The sequence below is a fragment of the Homo sapiens genome, chromosome 9, assembly GCF_000001405.40.
Source record: "Homo sapiens chromosome 9, GRCh38.p14 Primary Assembly".
In the NCBI taxonomy this organism is placed as follows: Eukaryota; Metazoa; Chordata; class Mammalia; order Primates; family Hominidae; genus Homo; species Homo sapiens.
In genome coordinates this window covers 112,838,044-112,858,937 of record NC_000009.12, presented here as the reverse complement: position 1 = coordinate 112,858,937, position 20,894 = coordinate 112,838,044, and the positions used below count along the sequence as shown (strand labels likewise).

At 46.5% G+C, this 20,894-nt stretch overlaps 1 protein-coding gene across 12 annotated transcripts in view, besides 4 other annotated features; it reads right to left on the bottom strand.

Annotated features, from left to right (window-relative positions):
* Nucleotides 1-20,894, bottom strand: part of SNX30 (sorting nexin family member 30) — a 136,047-nt gene that overhangs the window by 26,832 nt on the left and 88,321 nt on the right. For all 12 annotated transcript variants that reach the window (XR_007061307.1, XR_007061301.1, XR_007061302.1 and 9 more), the window contains 2 exons: nucleotides 20,241-20,440; nucleotides 7,993-8,079 (listed from right to left, as the gene is read on the bottom strand). Coding sequence is in view for 3 of the 12 variants with exons in the window: in XM_047423393.1 (XP_047279349.1) it covers nucleotides 7,993-8,079; nucleotides 20,241-20,440 (287 nt within the window). In the remaining 9 variants the exon portion in view is untranslated. The remainder of the gene's footprint in view (nucleotides 1-7,992; nucleotides 8,080-20,240; nucleotides 20,441-20,894) is intronic.
* Nucleotides 10,280-10,852: an enhancer, noted in NCBI's record as "H3K4me1 hESC enhancer chr9:115610366-115610938 (GRCh37/hg19 assembly coordinates)". NCBI's record gives its function as "activates a minimal SCP1, AML or CMV promoter by ChIP-STARR-seq in primed H9 embryonic stem cells {active_cell/tissue: H9 hESC(primed)}" and the evidence as "EXISTENCE:reporter gene assay evidence [ECO:0000049][PMID:30033119]".
* Nucleotides 11,638-12,138: an enhancer, noted in NCBI's record as "H3K4me1 hESC enhancer chr9:115609080-115609580 (GRCh37/hg19 assembly coordinates)". NCBI's record gives its function as "activates a minimal SCP1, AML or CMV promoter by ChIP-STARR-seq in primed H9 embryonic stem cells {active_cell/tissue: H9 hESC(primed)}" and the evidence as "EXISTENCE:reporter gene assay evidence [ECO:0000049][PMID:30033119]".
* Nucleotides 12,159-12,712: an enhancer, noted in NCBI's record as "NANOG hESC enhancer chr9:115608506-115609059 (GRCh37/hg19 assembly coordinates)". NCBI's record gives its function as "activates a minimal SCP1, AML or CMV promoter by ChIP-STARR-seq in primed H9 embryonic stem cells {active_cell/tissue: H9 hESC(primed)}" and the evidence as "EXISTENCE:reporter gene assay evidence [ECO:0000049][PMID:30033119]".
* Nucleotides 14,044-14,153: a silencer, noted in NCBI's record as "silent region_20197". NCBI's record gives its function as "represses an Ori minimal core promoter by ATAC-STARR-seq in GM12878 lymphoblastoid cells {active_cell/tissue: GM12878}" and the evidence as "EXISTENCE:reporter gene assay evidence [ECO:0000049][PMID:35858748]".

Here is a 20,894-nt window from a genome sequence, read left to right as displayed (position 1 = left end):
ACCACAGTATAATCTTGTTTAAATATATGGAGGGAAAGGTGGGGCTGAGGGAGGCAGGGCCCAAGGTTTGAACTCACAGAGAAGCCAGCATGTGTAGGGTTAATAAAGGACTCAGCAAAAGTCACTCGGGAAGGCAGAAAGGCGGGCACAGAAAGAGGAGGTGGTGAATCAGAGAGAACAGAGCCAGAGAAGCCCAGGGGTGGTAGGAGTTAGAAGAGGATGGAAGAATTAAAAAGAGGAACTGGGGTGAGCTGTCTGTGACCAGCTTGTGAAGTTCCCCAACTTGAAGAAGGGGAGCGCTGGCAACTCATGCTCAGGCATGTATTCTTCCACCTTTGATTTTTTGGATAGTGTCTTTGTAACTATCAATTCACTGACCAGTAACACTAAGCATTCTTTTTACTTTTATTTTTTATTTATTTTTGAGACAGGTCTTGCTCTGTTTCCCAGGCTGGAGTGCAGTGGCACAATCACAGCTCACTGTAGCCTCAATCTCCCAAGTTCAAGCGATCCTCCTGCCTCAGCCTCCCGAGTAGCTGTAACTACAGATGCACACCATCACACCCAGCTAATATTTTTATCTGGAGTAGAGGCGAGGTCTTGCTACCTTGCCCAGGCTGGTCTCGAACTCCTGAGCTCAGGCGATCTTCCTGTCTTGGCCTCCCAGAGTGCTGAGATAATAACAGGTGTGGGCCACCACCCTCAGCATTTCCTCTTATCTCAATGTTTTAATTTTCGTGACTGAGGTATTGTTACGGTTGTGCTACCATGCGTCTGAAGGATGTTGACATGGCACAGCACTGCTAATGGTTGGGTGTTGCTTATCATGACACCAAGGAAAAATATCACCAGATAAGACCTCAAAAGATAAAAATTTATACAGAGGTGACAAAATTGCATTTTTCACCTTGGTTCCCAATCTCTCATGAGAATTTCCATTACAGAATATAGGTTGTTAGTGCAATGACAGAAGAGTCACGTGGATGGGACTGTGCATTTCTGTGTGCTGGGGAACGGGACAGTAACTTAAATTCACTCAACATTCATTTAAAAACGCATTACTCAGTGAGCCGAGATTGAGCCACTGCACTCCAGCCTGGCAACAGAGCAATAAATAAATAGATAGATGGATGGATGGATGGTTGGATGGATGGATGGATGGATGGATGCATGCATGCATGCGTTACTGAGCTCCTTCCATGTGCCACGCATTTCCAGGCCCTAGAACAGAAATCTCAACTTAAGTCTCCTTCTTGGAGCTGGGTTGGAGATGTCACATTATCTGCTCTCATGATGATAGTAGGTTAGGAAAATCCCCAAAGACTACACAAGACAGATATAATCCCAAAGTGTGGAGGAAAGGGGAGCTCGTGGCTGCTGTAGGACAGGCTCCAGGACCAGTGACAGCCACACGCTGCTGAGTGAGCAGGGGACAGGGCTCCCTAACTGGCAATGTGTGAGTGGCAGAGAGATTGGTCCTCTGCCCTCTGGGAAGCCAGAGCCCCCAGGCTGGTCACCTCCAGCTTCCAGCAACTGCGTTTTCAGTGTCTATTTGAGCTGTGAGGTGAAAACAGGTAAGAAAACACTGATACAGGGTCAAGTCTGAAAAGAGGCCATGGAATTGGGCAAATAGAAAGTCAGTGGCTCTCTGAATGAATGCTTTTTTAATTATAGATAAAAACAAACTTCAGAGAATGGTCAGTGGGGAGTGAGGGAGGGAGAGGTGAGGGCATGAGATGAGGAGCAGAGAGGCTGACAGCAAGAGATCCTCGAGCTTGCCTGCGCAATGACACGAGAGTGAAGCCCCAGGGAAGGCCACACGCACTCTCCGTGCCTGCCTCGGGAAAGGCAGGGCGCCCCCTCAGGGAGCACAGCTGCTGGGGCCCGCGCCCTGGGGAAAGGCACCAGTTTTGGAGCCAGATGCACTTGGACTCCATACCGGCTCCACCATTTGTTGACTTTGGCACTTAAGTTCCACGCTTCCCCTGACCCCGGGCCCCCATCTGTCACATGGAAACCACCGCACTGGCAGAGGGTGGCTGCGGTGGGACTTAAGTCAGCTGAGGGGATGGGGGAGTTCTGCCTGCTCTGGCTGGAGGCACCTGGTCTTCTGCCCCATGGTGAGGGTCCTCACTTGCCAGAAGGGTCTGGAAACAACAGACACGAGGCCCCACTCTCCGGTCTGCATTAGCTCTGTATGTAGAAGTCTCCCTGCTGGCAGTTTACAATTGGGATTCTCACTTCACTACCCACCACGTCTTTCCCATTCTAGAACATTCACTATCCCGGTGGTTCTAAGAGCTGTCCAAGGTCTACAGCCTTCAAGAGGTTTGTCCAGAGAGCCCAATTTCCACTTTCCCTCTGCTCTTCTCTCAACCAGAGGGGGAACAGCTCTGTGCACCTTTCCATCCCAGTCACCTCCACACGACACACCTCCACACTTCCCACACCAATGCCCCACTCCCCTCCACACCCATGCTCCCCCAAAACACCACACCCACCCCCACACACTACATACCCCACACACACCACACGCCCTCCCTACACGCCACACGCCCTCCCTACATGCCACGTGCCCTCCCCATACACACACCACACACCCACCCCCCACACACACCACAGGCCAGCCCCCCAACACCGACACCCCAGGTCCCCTCCACACGGCCCATCTCTCCTCATCTGCACTCCGACACCACCCATTTAAACTTCTTCATCTGGCACCCACCCAGGATGAGGCTACCCGTGGGTCAGGGCCTAAAACAGCACCCTGCTTTTTTTATTTACTTTTTGAAGATAACTAGGAATTCTGTGAAGCCTTCTCCCTGGCATCCCTTCTTTGTTCTTTTTGGAGCTAGTTATACCAAGTGTATTAGCACTGAAAAGAGTCCAACGCAGAAGACAGGAAAAGGCAAGAGCTCCCTCTCTGTTACCCTCACTGTCATTCGAAGGTGCGGATGCTCCCGGTGCCATTTAAAATCTAATTCCTCAGCTTCTCCTTATCTTCTGTAAGAGCTCTGATGCCCCCCACCTTCCATGGCGGGTTAGATTCTAAGGTGTACACCAGGCTGCAGCCCAACAGGCCCAGGAGAAGGCAGCCAGCCCCTGCTAAGTAAGTGCATGTCGCTTCTCCAACCTCACAATTAACATGGAGAAGGCCAAGTCTCCAGAATCCAAAGCTCCATCTGCCTGGGAATCACCACCTCAGTGTCTGCTGAGCTTTCTCCAGCCTCAGCCCAACCACAATGCAAAACTTTGCATTCTAGGACACCACCATTCTTCCCCAGCTCCAGAGGCCTCCGCATCCTCTGCCCTCAGCACGTGCTCTTTCCCCACAAGACGTCCTAGGACTCCCCTAAGAGGATCACCCCACGTTGAAATTCACAGGGAAGGTTGTGAAGACATGAGGCCACTTCCTTCCCCTGGGTTACAAAAAAGTGATCAGATTTTGATGCCACTCCATGACTCCACAAAAATCAACTTTCCCTCCTTATCCAGCGCAAGTTTTTCAAGGTTTCACCTGATAACGAGGTAAGCCCCCAGACTCCCTCGGATCTTCTGCTGACCATGCCCATACCAGGGGACCTCTCCTCCCCGGCACTCCTGAGACAGTCCCCTGAGCTACCTCGCTCCCACCATCAGTTCCCAAAAGACCTAGCCGAGGCCCTGGGATAGAATCAGCCCTAACCCACTTCCGAATTCCCTGGCTTTTTAAAAAAAAAAATCTCATCAACAGCAGCTCTGGCTTCGTGAGCTCACAACCACATCAGGCAAAGCACAGCAAAACCTTAAGTTGCTCATTTCCTCAGCATCCACCAAACCTCCTGATGGGCTGTCGGGGAGGACAGGTGTGTGGAGGGCTAGGGAGGCAGGGGAAGCTTGAGGACATAGGAAACAATGTCTAAAACACTGTGGTCAGAAAAGGGACTTCTTAAAATATGTGACAGCAAACCCAGAAAACAAAGTTCTCCGCCCACATTCCTACTGCAGCCAGTGTGGACACGGGAGACTCCTCCAACGGAGCATCTGTCACTACGTCAGACACTACGCCGAGCACTTTATGGCATCACAACACTCATGTGTGGGAGGCAACTGAGGCCCACAAAGGCTGAGGAGCGGATCAGTGCAAGCTAGGGCGCAGCTGGGGTTTGAACCCAGGACCATCCCATTCTAAATCCTGTGCTCCAACCGTGCTGGACTTGGACAGGCTGCCAACTGCACCCTCCTCTGCCCACCAACGCAGCTGCTGCCCCAGACCCAAAGGCAGCAAAGGATTTCTGCTGCTGCCACTGTTACATTACATTCACTGGCACACCACCAGGACAGTCTATTTTGTCTTTAAAAATCACAATTGCTAAAGAAGCAGCAAAGTGAATGTGGCATGGTTCAACATCCCACCAGGAAGAGGGAAGGTGAAGATGGCCCAGCCACAGTGTGCTAAGAGATCGCAGATGTGTGTTCAGGACGGACTAGTCATTTTCACGGACTGGGGCAAACCCTTAGCCTCTGGTAAGAATTCCTGTGGCCGAGAGGATGAGCCATGTGGGTAAGTAGTGTCCAGGAAGGCGGACAACAGCAGCAGCCAAAGATTTCCACAGCACGGGGAGTGGACAGGAATCACCCAGACCCGCAGGAATGTGAGGCCAGGAGCCCTGGCAGGCAGCTGTGGGGGTCTGAGGGCACAAAACCAGCGTCTCCCTCTGCTCGAGACTGCTCCAAGCCTGGTGTGTGCTTCCAGCAGCCAGCAAGCCAGGCAGGGTTAAGACTTAACTCAGCCTATTATTCCGAACCTTCAGCTCCTGGCTTTGGAAAGGAATGTGTCCTGTATAGGGATGAACATATTAAATGACAGCATCAGCCTCTGAGAAAGCTCGTATTCAGTGCTGAGCTTGTACAGATGCTATTTACAGAACTACATACATGACGTCTTTAAAATGCAGGATCCTCGGTTTCCAAACTAGGCCAGTGGCAGAACTTGTTGGTTCTCCTTCCTTCCCTAGCCAGAAAAAGTGACTTCTATTTTTCCTTAAATATTTAACTGACACATAAAATTACATACATTTCAGGCGTATGACGTGATGATTTGATACATGTACACACTGTGTAGTGACGATCACAATCGAATTAATGAACACATCCATCACCACCCACATTTTGCATGGAAGCCCCAGGATTTTGTTCACCTTGTAACTGAAAGTTTGTACCTTTTGACCACGATTTCCCCATCCTGAGTCCCGGCAACCACCGTTCTACTCTCTGTTTCTATGACTTCAACTTTGTTAGATTCCACATATAAGTCAAATCATGCAGTTATTTGTTTTCTGTGAATGACTTCTATCTTTACATTTGCTGGCTAAATGCAAACTTTTAAAATATATACAAATAAATCATCCTATGTCATCCCTTTAAATCCCTTTGTTGAAAGGAAACTTTAAAAATATACACAAATAAATCATCCTATGTCATTCCTTTAAATGAGACTGAGACATGGCTTCAGTAGATGGCACCATGTTCCAGAAGATCACAGGCCAGCTCAGAACTCGTCAGTGGGGCCGGCCATAGGCAGACAGAGGGCAGCTGTGTGCACATGGCTCTGCATTTCTGTTGTCGCCTCCCTTGTGACAGACACACAGGATGGAAAAAGGCTGACAGCCTGTGGCAGGAGGAACCAGAGGGAGGGTGCCAGCTGCATACGCTGGGCCAGTGACTACAGTTCCAATCCTCATCATCTGCCTTTCCATAGATACATGCAGCCTTTACGCTCTGGTGTAGATCACTAGGGGTGATCCTGCTGGAATCAACACAACAAACATGCACAGGATGGAGAGCCACTCGGCATCAAAGAGGCTGGGCAATTTGTCCAGCTCCTTTGTGCCTCATTTCCTCACCCACGAAACGGGGAAAGAACAATGCCTTCCCCCGGGCCTCAGATGACCACTGCAGTGATCCTGTGATGCAATTAACATTAAGGACACTACAAAAAGCCAAGGTGTGTCATTTCTGAGGTGTGGGTTTCAAATTCCAAAGCTGGTTCCTTTCCAGGTATGTCTTGGCATGGCGGCAGCGGCAGGAACCATGGCAAAGGAGGAAATCCCCAGCAGCTCTGATGTCAAACCATTTCCCTGAAATGCAAGTCCCTGCTATTATCTTACTAACGTTCCTCACTCTTACCCCTCTCTTTGAAAACAAATACACGTTCCACTTACAAACCAAAAAGAGACAGAGTGATGTAATGGTAGGTAGCAAAATTCTAAAGTCAAACTGCAGGGTACCATCCTAGCTCTACCAGTGCTAGCTGTGTGACAGTGGGCCTTGGTTTGCTCATCTCTCAAATGGGGATAATAATGGTACCTAAACCTCATGGTTGTGGTATGGAATCAATGAAATTTTACACATACATGCACATATACATACACACAGTTGTCGCCTCGCTATCTGGTGGGGTGGGGTGGGGATCAGTTCCAGGACTTCTGAGATATCAAAATCTGTGAATGTTCAAGTCCCTTACATAAAATCATGTAGTGTTTACATATAACTGATGCACAGCCTCCTGTATACTTTAAATCATCTCTAGATTACTTATAATACCTAATACAACATAAATACCTTGTAAATCATTGTTACACAGGTTGGGCGTCCCCAGTCTGAAAACCCAAAATGCCCCAAAATCCAAAACCTTTTTTTTTTAAGATAGGGTCTCCCTATGCTGCCCAGGCTGGGGTGCAGTGGCCATTCACAGGCGCAATCATAACACACTGCAGCCTCTAACTCCTGGCCTCAAGGGATCCTCCCACCTCAACCTCCCCAGTAAGAGGAGGCCTGCCTATGGCCAGCCCCACTGACGAGTTCCGAGCTGGCCTGTGATCTTCTGGAACATGGTGCCATCTGCTGAGCCATGTCTCAGTCTCACTTAAAGGGATGACATAGGATGATTTATTTGTGTATATTTTAAAAGTTTCCTTTCAACAAAGGGATTTAAAGGGATGACATAGGATGATTTGTTTGTATATATTTTAAAAGTCTGCATTTAGCCCACAAATGTAAAAAGGTGGTAATCTGGCTCAACCAGTTCTGCAATCCCACCCAGGAGCAGAAGACACAGCAAGAAAACCTCACTTCCACCCGCTATGATTCCATCTCCTACCTGACCAATCAGCACTCCTCACTTCCTAAGCCCCTACCCACCAAATTATCTTTAAAAACTCTGATCCCCAAATGCTCAGGGAGAATGATTTGAATAACAGTAAAACTCCAGTGTCCAGTAAGCTAGTTCTGCACGAATTACTCTTTCTCCATTACAATTCCTTTGTCCTGATAAATCAGCTCTGTCTAGGCAGCAGGTGAGGTGAACCTACCGAGCAGTTACAAACACTGGAGCCAGAAGGCATCCTAGACAAGCAAGATTAGTGCTGCTCGAACTCTGTGGAGTAAAGGGCCACTTTTTGTTGGCTTTTTTCCCCCAATTCGACCAAGCTGTAGTCCTGCCGTGCAGAACCAGCACGCAGCTTGCTCCACATGCAACTCCTCACGCGAGTTTAACACGCTCGCCTTGAGTGTTCAACACAATGTGTTCAACTGGTTCTGCAGCAACATCAAATTCCTATAGAAGTTTCCAAGTGCTTCTATACTTTCCTCATCATGGATTGTATAGTTTGTGGGCCTATGAACCACACTTTGAAAGCACTGATTTAGGCTATTCTTTCCTTCTCTCTGCAATGCCATTTTATGGAGCAAGGAACTGCCGATGAATGGCAGAGCTGTTAAGTCTTTAAAAAACCAAAAATTAGGCCCAGGAAACAGTGGAAAACTCAATCCCAAGTGAACACTAGGAACTCGCAGAAATAGGACAGAAAAGGGAGTGAAAAAGGACAACATCATCAACGTAGCCCAGCCGGCACTGACCACTCTTAGTCATACAGATCTAGAGATGAGAATTTACTTAGCACCAGCAGGGAGACTACAGCTTTGCAGCCCTTCCCAGGTGGCTTCCCTGACCTTGGGGCGGTCTTCCTTCCGCAGAGCCACAGCTTCCAGTTTGGCTTCATACTCTGCTTGAACTTGGTCCCTCTTCTTCAATACACTCTGTGGGAGGCAGAGGAGAGAAGCATGTAACACTGAGTCCACAAAGGGGCCTCCCACCCCCAGGCAATTGCTTCTTTTCCCCCACGCCTCCCCAAATCAAGGCCTACCCCAGGCCCAGCCATGTGCTCCTAGGACAGTCTGGCCATGGCAGAAACTCTGGAGGAAGCAGGAGAAAGGAGGGAAGAGAGGAGAACCACTCCTGATGCTGGAGTTTCTAGTAAAGTAACTAAAACCTGACGCTGAAAGGAAAGAAATTCTAGGGAAAGGCAAGTGGAGGAAACAGCACCCATCCATTGTCACGCTGCTGGGAGGACTCTCCGCGTCACTGTGTGCAGCCAGAGCCCGGCTGTGCAGAAATGCGGAGCTTTGCAGGCTACAACACTGGATGTTCTCTGAAATCTTAAAGTCTAAGAGAACTCTTCACTCTTTAATTCACTGACTGGACCCCTAGTGGACTGATCTGTTCAATGATTCATTCATTAGCCACTTACTAGTCCTCTACTCTGGTCCAGGTATAGAAAGAGCAGAGAGATGCACTCCCTACCTGAGAGGTTCAGTGTGACAGAGGCTCAGACACAGTATGCGCCTGTATGTGCTAAAGGGGCTATACCTGTGCAAGTCCAGAATTCCTAGAACCATGCAGCCAGCCCACCAGAGTGAAGGCTCAATGGGCCCCAAGAGAGCCAGCCCTGGATGGGACAGGAGTGAGGCAAGCTAGGCACCCGGGGTGCAAAATGTAAGGAGACACTCCCTCTTTGGCCCATGTGAGTACAAGGTTGGCACCTGACAGTGAATGCCCTGTAAATCTGTGCCTGGGGCTCCCCTCACTTAGTCCAAGCTCTGCTGCTATGAACCCACCAAGCAAAACAGAAAAGCTTGCAGTAGACCTTCTAGAAAGGTGTCTGTTTCATCAACGAGTTTCTTTCTTCTTCCTTTAATAGAATCACAAGTGGCAAACCAAGAGTGATGAGACCTTTCTTTTCCACTAACTCAAAAGAAATAAATTGCTATGAAAGTTTCTAATCATGCACTTTCCCCACAGGGGACCTTCCAGCAGCGTGAGGAGTCAAGGCAGGAAGGAGTCACTCCTTGGCTAAGCACGGGCACCCCATATCCCTGCCTGTGCTAAAGGTGACAGGCAACTGAAGAGTTGAGAGTGTTGTGGGTTCAACCTTCTAATGGAATGTGTCAATACCGGAAACCTCAAGTCTTCCTCTGAAAAGTTTGCTTTAGGAAGTGTTTTATCATGAAATGAAAATGAGGTTAAAATTGCAATAATTTTTCGTCAATTGCCACTCAGCTGTCTCCTAAGTGCCCTGACATTCCCTCCCCACACTCATTCATCTTTGAGTAGGAATATTTACAGTGCTGTTCAATGGAACTTTCTGCTATAATGGAAACGTTTTATAATCTACACTAACCCAGGAGCCACTGCCTCCACGTGCCTACTGAGCACATGAAACAAAGCTAGCAGGACTGGGGAACTGGATTTACATTTTTATTCAATGTTACTCATTTGAATTTAAACTTAAATAGCCACATATGGCTAGTGGCTACCATACTGGATGACATAAATCTATAAAGTAAAAAAGAGTCCTTTGTGGACTTCATACAGCCCAGAAAATAATCTAAATCTATTGGTCTGATACAGCAGTAGTAAAAATCCTCTTCTCCATGGACGTGCAAATGTGGTTCCCCAAGGTGCAATGGAACAGCAGGGCAGGGGCCATGTGGGATGCTTATCACTGGTGTGCACTTCCCTTCACAGGATGCCTAGCATCTTACTGGAAAAAAAAACCACATATCCAGACTAGCGCTTCTAGGAAGGAGTCTGAGTTGACCCAGTGACACACACTCTGTCAGTGTGGCAAGAGCCTCCTAACTAAAGCTGTTAAGACAATGCCCTGGAACAATGCCAGCACAGCGTGGGGGCTCCTGGGGGCACTGCTGGGGTTGCAAGACCCCTGGGACTACGAGGGGTGGGGAGGAGATGCATCAACCCCACTCAGCTACAACAGTGCAAAAGCATCTCCTCTCCCCATGCCCAAAACAGACGAGGGGGCCTGCAGATCCAGCCATATCCCTCTCTCCAGTTGGCCTGGGCCTGCCCTGGCCCACAGGAGAGGCAGGGTCTCTGTCTCTCAGTGTTATCCAGCGTGGCCAGAATGCTGCCCTCTGGCGCAGGCTGACTGGAGGATCCGCCCTAACAGCCCTGCATCACTGGACAGCACAAAAGGCTCCCAGCAACCCTGCAGAGTGAACGCGCATCTTCCCTATTCTACAGATGAGGAGACTAAGGGACGGTGGCGGGCCCTGTTCAAGGCCACACCTGGCTCATGGCACAGCAGTGGCTCATTCAGGCTGTTCCTGCTGCCTTCCAGCATGTGGCTTTGCAGCTGGCCCAAAATCCAACCACGCTGAAGGTTGGGCAACGTGTTCTGAATCAAGACAAACTGCTGACTACCACCACCCTCATTGGGACACCTTTGCATGCTGTTGGTGATGTTCTGAGAGGATGGGCCCCCAGCCCAGTCTCTATTGATAAAATTGGTCAAACCAGCCTATGGCTGTCAGATGAGGCCCGAGCCGGCAGTGGGGTAAAGAGGCCAAGAGACCAAGCCGGCGTCTGCAGAGAGGCCCCTCCATCATTGAGTGACAAGCAGAAGAGAGTCATCATCTGAACTTCTCACAGAACTTTATAGGGATCTGCATCCCATTGATATGACACATCAAAAAGGCGAAGGGCACAGTGAGACTTTTCTCCTCATGCCTCGCGCCACCTGCCCTCCTCTACACACCCATTCCCCACCCTGCTTCTGCCCTGCCTTCATACATCTTCATTCATCTAGCCAGGGACGGGGATACAGCAGAGAACAAATCACAAAACCATGTGGAGCTTACATTCTAGAGGAGAGGCAGACAAGAAGCAAGTAAAATATATAGTAGGTAACTCTAGGCATTAGGAGGAAAAATAAAACAGGAATGGAAGGAAAGTACCAAGGGTTTGGGGAAGGCAAAATCATACATAGGGTGCCCAAGGAGGGCCTCACACTCACAAGATGACTTTTAATTACAGACATGGAATAAATTCCTCTCGGACACTTATTTTTTAAAACATTAGAACATTTTGTTGTGATTTCAAGTGGTCCTAATAACCTGGAACTTTACTATCTCTCTTTTCCAATGAAGAGAAGACAGATGATTCTTTAACAAATAAATTACAAGGAAAAATAAATGGACAAAGAAGGATTTTTTAATATTTAAGAAACATACCAATCAATGTACAGATCCTGTTTGGATCTCAATTTGGAAAAAGAAACAGAAACTGTGTCTGAGACAAACTGGGGAAATTTGAACACTAACTGGATATTTAAACATAATTAGGTAGTCCTTTTTAAAAAAAAAAAAAAAAGAATGCTTGTATTTTAGAGATATGTACTAAACGTTTCTGTATGAAATAATATGATTCCAGGATTTGTGTAAAATTAAACCACAGGGTGGGAGTTGGGAGCAGCGTGACAGAGAGACAGAACCAGATGAGTCATGAGTGGGCAACTGCTGATGCTGGCTGGGATATGCGCGGGACGGCTGGGATACGCACGGGACGGCTGGGATACATGTGGGTTTATTGTTATCATTCTATTTTGTGATATGTTTGAATTTTTCTATAATAAAAAGGCTAAACAATAGAAACACAATATCTGTCATCCAAATATAACAAATTAATAACAGTCATTAAGAGGTCTATAGTTATGTCATCCACGAAATACTAATCAAACAGCCTTTATCTACAATGACAAAATGTTTGGAAGAGTTGGATGACAGATGCATCCTGTGGTTTGGCTTTCAACATCTGCACTGGATTTGTCCCAAAAAAGACCACAGTGGCATCTACGGGAAAGCACAGCATCCCTTCCCCACCCTCAGACTCATGCACATGTCTGACCCTGGCAAGGCTGTGGGCTCACAAACTATGGGAGGGGAAAAGGCAGAAAAGGAGCCCCAGCGCCAAAGGTCAGCAGCTACCAAAAAGCCTCTTCAAGCCCACCAAGTTTTTCAGCTTCAAAGCTTTGTGGAAGAGGGGAGCTAGGATGCAGGGCTGGAAGAGGATACCAAAGCAGCAGGAGCAGCTCACCCCCCACAGAGAACTGCAGGATGGGATGGTTCATATTCCTGTAGGCCAGGGCTGACGACCCAAGACCCAAGTGGAATTCATGTAGAGTAATGGGTGTTCAGTAATAAAGAACAAATGAGAATAAAAATAAAATACGCACGTAGCCCTGTGGCTTAGGGTAGCCCTCTAGAAGGGCACTTTCCTGCAGGCAGGAAAATGAGTCTGATCTGGTACTGGTGATATCACTAGCTCTGGTTAAATGACTGAGTTCAGGTTACCCCTTTCAACATGCTCCTTTTACATATTCATTCTATGGAAACCAGGACCACCTGCGAGTTAGATGTCCTGGGGCAATGTTGGTAACACTGAAACCACACATTATCCCCTCATTTTAAAATATATTTTTACACAAAATTTGGAAAATTTAAAGGAGGGGGAGAAGTCATACATAATCTCATCACACAGACACAATCAGTGATACATTATTTCTTCCCTTCTGGTCTTTTTCCTTGAATGGCTTCTTTGATGCTTCCCATTTCTCTGTTTCTCTGCCTGCACACCTGTTATTCAGATGGTCTAATCCTCTAATTTTCATATTTTTTTCTCCAATTCTCTTTTGGTTTCTTTTCATATGTGACTTGCTTAACTTTTTCTTCTAACTCTTCTATTAATTTTTTTATTCCTATTATGGTTTTAATTTCCAAGAGCTCTTTGTTCTCTGAATTTTTAAAAATTACTGTTTTATGGCTGTGATATCTTCTCTTTTGGAAAATATTAACATTTTTTTCTGGAAATTTTCTTCCCCATCAGTGTTTCATTCAATAGGTTTTTCTTCTTTGTTTTACTTCTGATATTCATATTCAAATCTTCCCTTACATATCTGGTGACCCTTGTCTGTCCACTCATCCAAGAGGGAAACTCCATGGAAATGGATTGAAAGCTCTCTGCACAGAGGGCTTGTTGACATTCTCCATAGGAGACTCGGCTGGGTCCTTTCATTGAGGGACCACCCTGGTTCTCCATCGCCAGCCAATATCAGTATCTGTGGGTCACTTCTCTTGGCCCGTCCAGATTTTCTAGAAAAGGCTCTTTTCCTCCTTGCATGGAAGATCTAAGGCTGAGAGTCAAGCAGGAGAAGAGTCTCAACATCACTAATCTTTCACTGAACACCCTCAAGTGTGCCTAGAGTCTCTTGCTCCACAGAGGCCCCCTCCAGAGAATCGACCCCCAGTTCTGCCAAAGTGGAGAAGGAAGTGGCCCCTGTGTGAGCAGGGAGGAGAGGATCAGAAGCTAGAATTCTTAAACAGACTCTAGATTTATTCTTCTCTTCAGCTCTACCTCAGTCCCAGAGGGGCGTGGTGCTGCCAACTCTTGACCTTTTTGGAGGGTTCCGCGGTGTAAACCAGGTGGCTTCTCAGTTTTTTCCCCCACAGTCGGTTTCAAAATCAGCTTGAGTCATTTAAAGTACTTATTAACTCTCAATCCGTTCCCAAAATTGTACTGCTATTGCCTCCTTGCCTGTTGCTCTTGTCTGTGGGCTTGTGACTTTTTTCAAAATCGTTTTAGTGTCATTTTGGTGAAGTTTAAATGTGTATTCAGTCTGCCATTACTGGGAATCTCAGAGTTCTCATTTTAATATTTTTCTTATTTTTTTAAAGCCTTTGAAATCAGGCATATTTCACATCCTGCTTCTTCACATTATTTTAGCTGCAAGAAATTAGCCACTCTGTATAATCTCTTTTGTTCAGGAAAGGGGACATTTTTTCCCTGACAAATCAATCTTCCAGAAAACTCTTCATTTCAGTTTTGGAAAGGCACCGGAAATGGCCAACCTAAAGCACCAACTGTTCGCGTTCCCGGAGTTTGACTCATTGGCGCCACCTTGTGGCCCTGTGGGGAAGGGGCGGGCAGGCTGAAGAAACCGCCTGACAATTTAAATTGGCTTTTGAAAAGGACTAACCCGGAATGTTGTAGAAGTTATCTCCAACTGGAAGAAAAACTTTGTCTTTAAGCCAAAACTTATGCATCCACATTTCACACTTGTAATCTCGATCACCAACGATGTCTATATTATTAAATCCAACAGATATATTTTGCCCCCTTCTTAAAACATTTATCTTGGCTTCGTGGAGGCAATCCTCTTCTTCCCTCCTGCCACACCAACCCTTCCTTTGTGGGCTCCTTTGCTACTTGTTCTTTCGTCTTAAGGTGATAGATCAATAAATATTACCATGCCACAGGCGCAGGCCTTCACACTCTACGCACCTCAATCACATCTCCTCATACAATCTCCATCGGTCTCAGAGATTTAAACACCATTCATACACTAATGACTCCCAAATTTCTATTCCCACTCTAGACTAACTCAAAACCAACTGCCATGACATCTCCACTTTAATGATTAGGAGGCATTCTGAATTCCACATGCCCAAAATAGTGGACTCCCAACTGCTCCACCTGTTCCTCCCTGGACCCTCCCCGTCCCAATAAACAGTACTGCGATCCACCCAGCTGCTAAAGCCAAAAACCCCAATTCCTTTCTTATTTTGCATCACTACAGCAGCAAGTGCCATTGGCCCATCATCCAAAATATACCCCAAATCCACCCACGTCTCTACCACTGCAGTCCAGGCTCCACCACCTAGTTTTCTGCCCTTGGCTCCCTGTGACAGCCTTCTGAACGGCCTTCCCAATCACCACTCTCATCCTCTACAATCTAGTCTCCATACTGTAGCACTAGTTGTCTTCTTAAAGTGAAAATCACATCCTGTCATCCCCCTGCATAAAACCAAATGGCTTCTCTTCTAGTCCTTAGAATAAAGTCCAGACTCTTACCAGCCTTTAAGATGGTCTTTAAGACGCTACTGCATTTGGGAGGCCAACGTGGGTGGATCATGAGGTCAGGAGTTCGAGACCAGCCTCACCAACATGGTGAAACCCCGTCTTTACTAAAAATACAAAAATTAGCCGGGCGTGGTGGTGCGCACCTGTAATCCCAGCTACTCAGGAGGCTAAGGCAGGAGAATCGCTTGAAGCGGGAAGTGGAGGTTGCAGTGAGCTGAGATCACGCAGCCTGGGCAACAGAGTGAGACTCTGTCTAAAAAAAAAAAAAAAAAAAGCTACTGCAGGACCAGGCTCCTACCTCTCTTTGACCTCACCGCTTACCACTTACTCCTTTGCTCACCAGGTTCCACTCCCCAGCCTTTCTGATCTGCAAAGACTCTGAGCTCATTTCAGCTTTCGGACTTTGCACTGGCTGCTCCCCTCTGCCTAAAATGCTCCATCCTCCGACCCTTGCGCAGCTCACTCCCATATGTCTTCCAAGTCTCCAGCCACAGCCTTTTCCATGTGGCTTTCCCTTACAACCTACTCTTACTTCAGACCCTCACCCCACCCCAGTCATTCACCAAGACCCCTGAGATAAGCATGCGTATTGACATAGATAAACCTCTTAAAAATAAGATGTACAATGTGCAATCATTGTATATTTGTAAGTGTCGCAAATTTACCAAATTGTCCGATTCAATTACATGCTTGCTGACCACCTTCTATGGATAAGGCAGTGTGGGAAATAAGACAGTCCTGCCCAAACCTTCAGGAATAAAGCTTCTCCAACATTTGGCCTAGTCATGACAATGCTAATACTCAAAAGGCACTGCCAGAAAAGTGGTGAGGACTTCAAGAGGGCCTCTTTCAACCCATCACTACCCTAATTTCATTATACACACACAGTTTATAGGATGTGAAATCCTATGTAAGGGCTCACCTGTGGATGTCTGCGAGGTATTTAACTTGAGTCTGGGCTTAAGGGTAACTAACCTTTTGTACCTTCCTGTCCCCGCACACATATCCTTGTGACACATGCCTTCAACCGTCTTTCTAGTACAAGCTGTTCTCATTGTTCACTGCTTAAACTCACATTGTTCCATTTGTTCCGAGTGCCTTGATAATGACCCTATTTTTCTATGCTCTCTACCTCCAAAGGGAACAGAACATACCTAGCCACAATTGTCCTGAAAGAGATACAGTTGGAGGCCAGGCTTGAAAAGCCTAAAGTCACCTAGTTTGCCTCTTGGCAAGTAGTAAACACACAGCTACAAGCTGATTGGTCACTAAGGAGTATAGTCCTGTGGCCATGCAACAGAGAAAAGATTTACTCACAAGGGTCTGTTTCTTCGTGTCAACAATGAGCAAATGAGAAAGATGATCCTAAAGGCCCTTTCGAACTCAGAGAGGAACCCCCACCACAGCTCCATCAGGACAGGACTTTTCCCTGGCATTTTCCCATCCAGGGAGGGACCAGCCATCCACCATTTCAAATTCCTAAGGCACAGGCCACTACTTCCAAATGATGAGGACAAACACTCACCATTAGGTTCCCTCAAGGCCATGATGAAGATAGACTGACAGAACCTCACCACACCAGTAACTCCTCACCAAAACCAACCCAGGACTTTCTCAGCTCTGAGGACCATTCAGCAGCTGATGAAGAACGGGCCACAGGCCTGATGTGGGGGCTCACGCCTGTAATCCCAGCATTTTGGGAGGCCAGGGCAGGCAGATCACTTGAGGTCAGGAGTTTGAGACCAGCCTGGCCAACGTCGTGAAACCTGTGTCTATTAAAAACACAAAAATTAGCCAGGCGTGGTGATGTGCACCTCTAATCCCAGCTACTCGGGAGCCTGAGGCAGGAGAATCACTTGAACCCGGGAGGTGGAGGTTGCAGTGAGCCAAGATCGTGCCACTGCACTCCAGCCTGGGCGACAGAGCAAGAGTCCATCTCCAAAAAATAAAGAACAGGCCACAGCCAGGCCTGTGGCAAGTCCTCTGCTCCACGCTTAGTTTCCATACTGCACAGCAAAGTCTGCCCTACTTAAGTTTCAAAAATCAGAAAGCCATTTTGGAAATGGAACTATATGACTCTCTCGGAGGAAGAAAATATACTTAAAAATTCTTACAGAGCAGCAATGTGAAAAGGTGGGCAAGCCACTTAAGACATCTATCATTCTCCTGGTGTCTTTAGTCCCAGCCACACAGACCCTGATAATCCCAGACACAGTCTTTGCTTTGCCATCCAATCACTCCTATCGTGCCCAGGGCACTCTGCAGAGACATTTTCCTGGTGAAAAGTGGAGGAGCAGTGGCCCTGTTTCTTATTAATTGGACTCAGCTCAGCTACTATCGGGGATAGAGCTTGGGTTTCAGAGACTGCCAGTCCACACTTCCTCTTTTCCATGCCCTTCCCCAGACAAGACTGTGTACAATCAATCCCATTCACTCAGCCTGATTGACCTGATTTTTCAGGCTCAGTAAACAAGAAACTCCATACATATGCCCCACACATGGGGGGTAAAGAAAGAGCAAACAAATGTTTCTTTGATGTCTAACTTAAATTACACAAGCTATGTCTCCCAGTGTAATGTTTTATAGATGCCAGATAAATCCTTGCTATATGACATTTTTAAATCGTGCTTCAAATACAAATATATACTAAGTACTAACATACTTGCCACAGGAAAAAAAACAGAGTAATTTGTACTATAGTATCCCAGTGCTGTGTATGCATTGGATTTTTCATCTGGCAAGGTTAAGAGAATATTTGATGAAGGGTGTGTATACATAAGAGACAAATCCACGGACACTCCAGGAATTGTAAAAACTTATTTTTAAGAACAGATACCAGGGCTAGGTGCAGTGGCTCACGCCTGTAATCCCAGCACTTTGGGAGGCCGAGGCGGGCGGATCACGAGGTCAGGAGATCGAGACCATCCTGGCTGACACTAAAAAAATACAAAAAATTAGCCAGGCGTGGTGGGGGGCACCTGTGGTCCCAGCTGCTCAGGAGGCTGAGGCAGGAGAATGGCATGGACCCGGGAGGCAGAGCTTGCGGTGAGCTGAGATCGTGCCACTGCACTCCAGCCTGGGTGACAGAGCAGGACTCCGTCTCAAAAAAAAAAAGAAATATCAGCCAGGCGCAGTGGCTCACACCTGTAATCCCAGCACTTTGGGAGGCCGAGGCGGATGGATCATAAGGTCAGGAGATCAAGGGTGGCCAACATGGGGAAACCCCGTCTCTACTAAAAATACAAAAATTAGCTGGGTGTGGTGGCGGGTGCCTGTAATCCCAGCTACTCGGGAGGCTGAGGCACGAGAATCACTTGAACCCAGGAGGCAGAGGTTGCAGTGAGCCACGATTGTGCCACTGCACTCCAGCCTGGTGATGACAGAGTGAGACTCCATCTCAAAAAAACAAACAAACAAAAAACACAGATACCATTAGTTTGATAAGTGAAATATTCTAGTTCATTTTAAGAAAGTCAGCATGTCTTTCTATACTTGTTTTGGCCATAGGATCAAAAATTCAATGTGTATATCCCAATTTTTTTTAATAAAAGTCAATGTGATACAAGAGAATGAGCTGCAAATTCACAGCCAGAAGTTTTGGCTTACAGCCTCAGTTCCAATAATTTCCAACTAGTGGTCTCAGGCTAATGATCTCAAATCTGACTTTATCCTATCACCACCATCATTTCCAACTTATAGATAAGGAAATTCAAACCATTTCCCTGGTCACTGAGAGATCCAAATTCAATCCTGGCTTGGAAAGTGTTTTATTAGCAACTTTATAACGCACACATGAAAAGGGGATTCACCAGAGGCTCCATTTTCCACCGTCCACAGTTTAGTACGTATCAACCCTTCACACCTGATGGGACAAGACGGAACAAGGAGAATGGGTATGTGGCAGTTTGTCACTATTCTCTCTGCTTTGGCATGTGCTTAAAGTTTTCCATCATAATTTGTTTTTATAACTAGTTGATTCATTATTTTTTAATTCCTGTTCTCAAGCTGTACAATGTTTTCCTGGATCTACGATCTTTCTGGTTTAACATTTTTACAACCCAATGTTGACTGACAGGTTTCTCTCTGGAATTCAGGTCAGTCCCTATTCAGGTCTTTCCTCATGGGATGCCCTAGACCTGTCCCAAAGACAGATTAATCATTCAGAGGTCTCCTTTGAGAAGCAGGAGGGTGCTATTTAGAGGTGGGAATGTTCAACACTGAACCACGTATCTTTTTCTATTGGTCATAAAGACTGGGCCTTTCTACTAATCAGTGCCCCCATCGTCGGAGTCTCCTGAAGAGATGTTCTCCAACCAGTCTATGTGCAGGCCGGGGAAGTTTCCAGTGTGGGCACTGGCGCATTTCCTCCTGCACTCTACTCCGATTCTGCATACAGAATTTGAGGCCAAAGATTTTTTTTGTCCTCATAGTTCCTCTTCTCATTCACCGCTGCTAGACCAAAGCCATTCTCACTCTTGTTCCTTTTATACATCATCTGCCCCTCCCTCTGCTTTAAAAAGCTTTCAAATTCGTATCACTTTTGTTCTAAAATTCCACAATAATATGCTTTGGGCTGGTGATCTTTTCAATCCTTTTGCTGGGCAATTATCATGTCCTTTTAATCAGACGATTTATGTCTTCAGCTTTGGGGGACTTTCTTGTATTATTTCTTTTACAATTTCCTTCCCTCAGTCTTCCCTGTTCTCTCAGGAACTCTTATCAGTCGGATGCTGAACCTTTGGGATTAATTCCCTATGTCTCTTTTCTTTCATATTTTCAGTACTTTTGCATTTTTGTTCTATTTTCCAGCAACTTTTGTTTTGTCTTACTTTAAGATTTCTTCAATTTCACCTTCCAACTTGATTATTCAGTTTTATTTCAGCAATCATGTTTTAACTTCCAAGAGCTCTAATTATTACTTTTCCATGGCATCTTTGTTCTTATTTCATAGGCATTATATCTTCTTGAACTCTCAGAGAAACCAGTAAGAATTTCTTACCAAACTTTTTTTTTTGTTTAATTCACGTACTTCGTTCACCATGTGTTCCATTTATATGTCCATGATGTCAGTCCACGTGTCTGATCCTGCCCACCCAGGAAGAAGGAAACTTATATCACATGCAAACAGGCAATAATCCATTACTTTCTGATAACTGCTATTACAAAGAAAGTATGCAAATACACAAGAAGCAAGCCAGCTTACCTTCATGGAGTCAGAGTATAAAATATATTCCCTGAGCACAGGTAGGAAGTCTTCTGTCATGTCATCTGTCAGCTCTTCTAAGGCTGTAGAGCAGTTCCCAATGCAAGCTGACACACCCTCCAGGGGTTCAGCCAGCTCACCCTCCAAGGCGCTCCATGTGGAGTACACAGGCCCGTATTCTCTCAGCTCCACAAGGTACTCTGAACAGGGAACAGAAACTAATTAAAATCTGGCTGGGTAGCAGTTGCTGCTATTACTGACTCAGTAATCACCACAGCCAAGAGCTCTCTACATGAACATGTGTTTCTTTGGCCATTCACTCACCTGATCCCACTCTTCTTTAAACACAACACTGTTTCTAGCACAACTGCTTAAAAACCTCTGACAGCTCATGTTACATCAATCCATTCCATCCCGTGATGGGAATGCCATCCCTCTGGATAATGGGCCTTATGGGGAAAAGCAGTAGCAGCCACATCCACCAAACATCTTCGAAAATAACCACTCGCTGGCCTGGTGGTGGCTCATACCTGTAATCCCAGCACTTTAGGAGGCCAAGGTGGGTGGATCACAAGGTCAGGAGATCGAGACCATCCTGCTAACACAGTGAAACCCCGTTTCTACTAAAAATACAAAAAAATTAGCCGGGTGTGG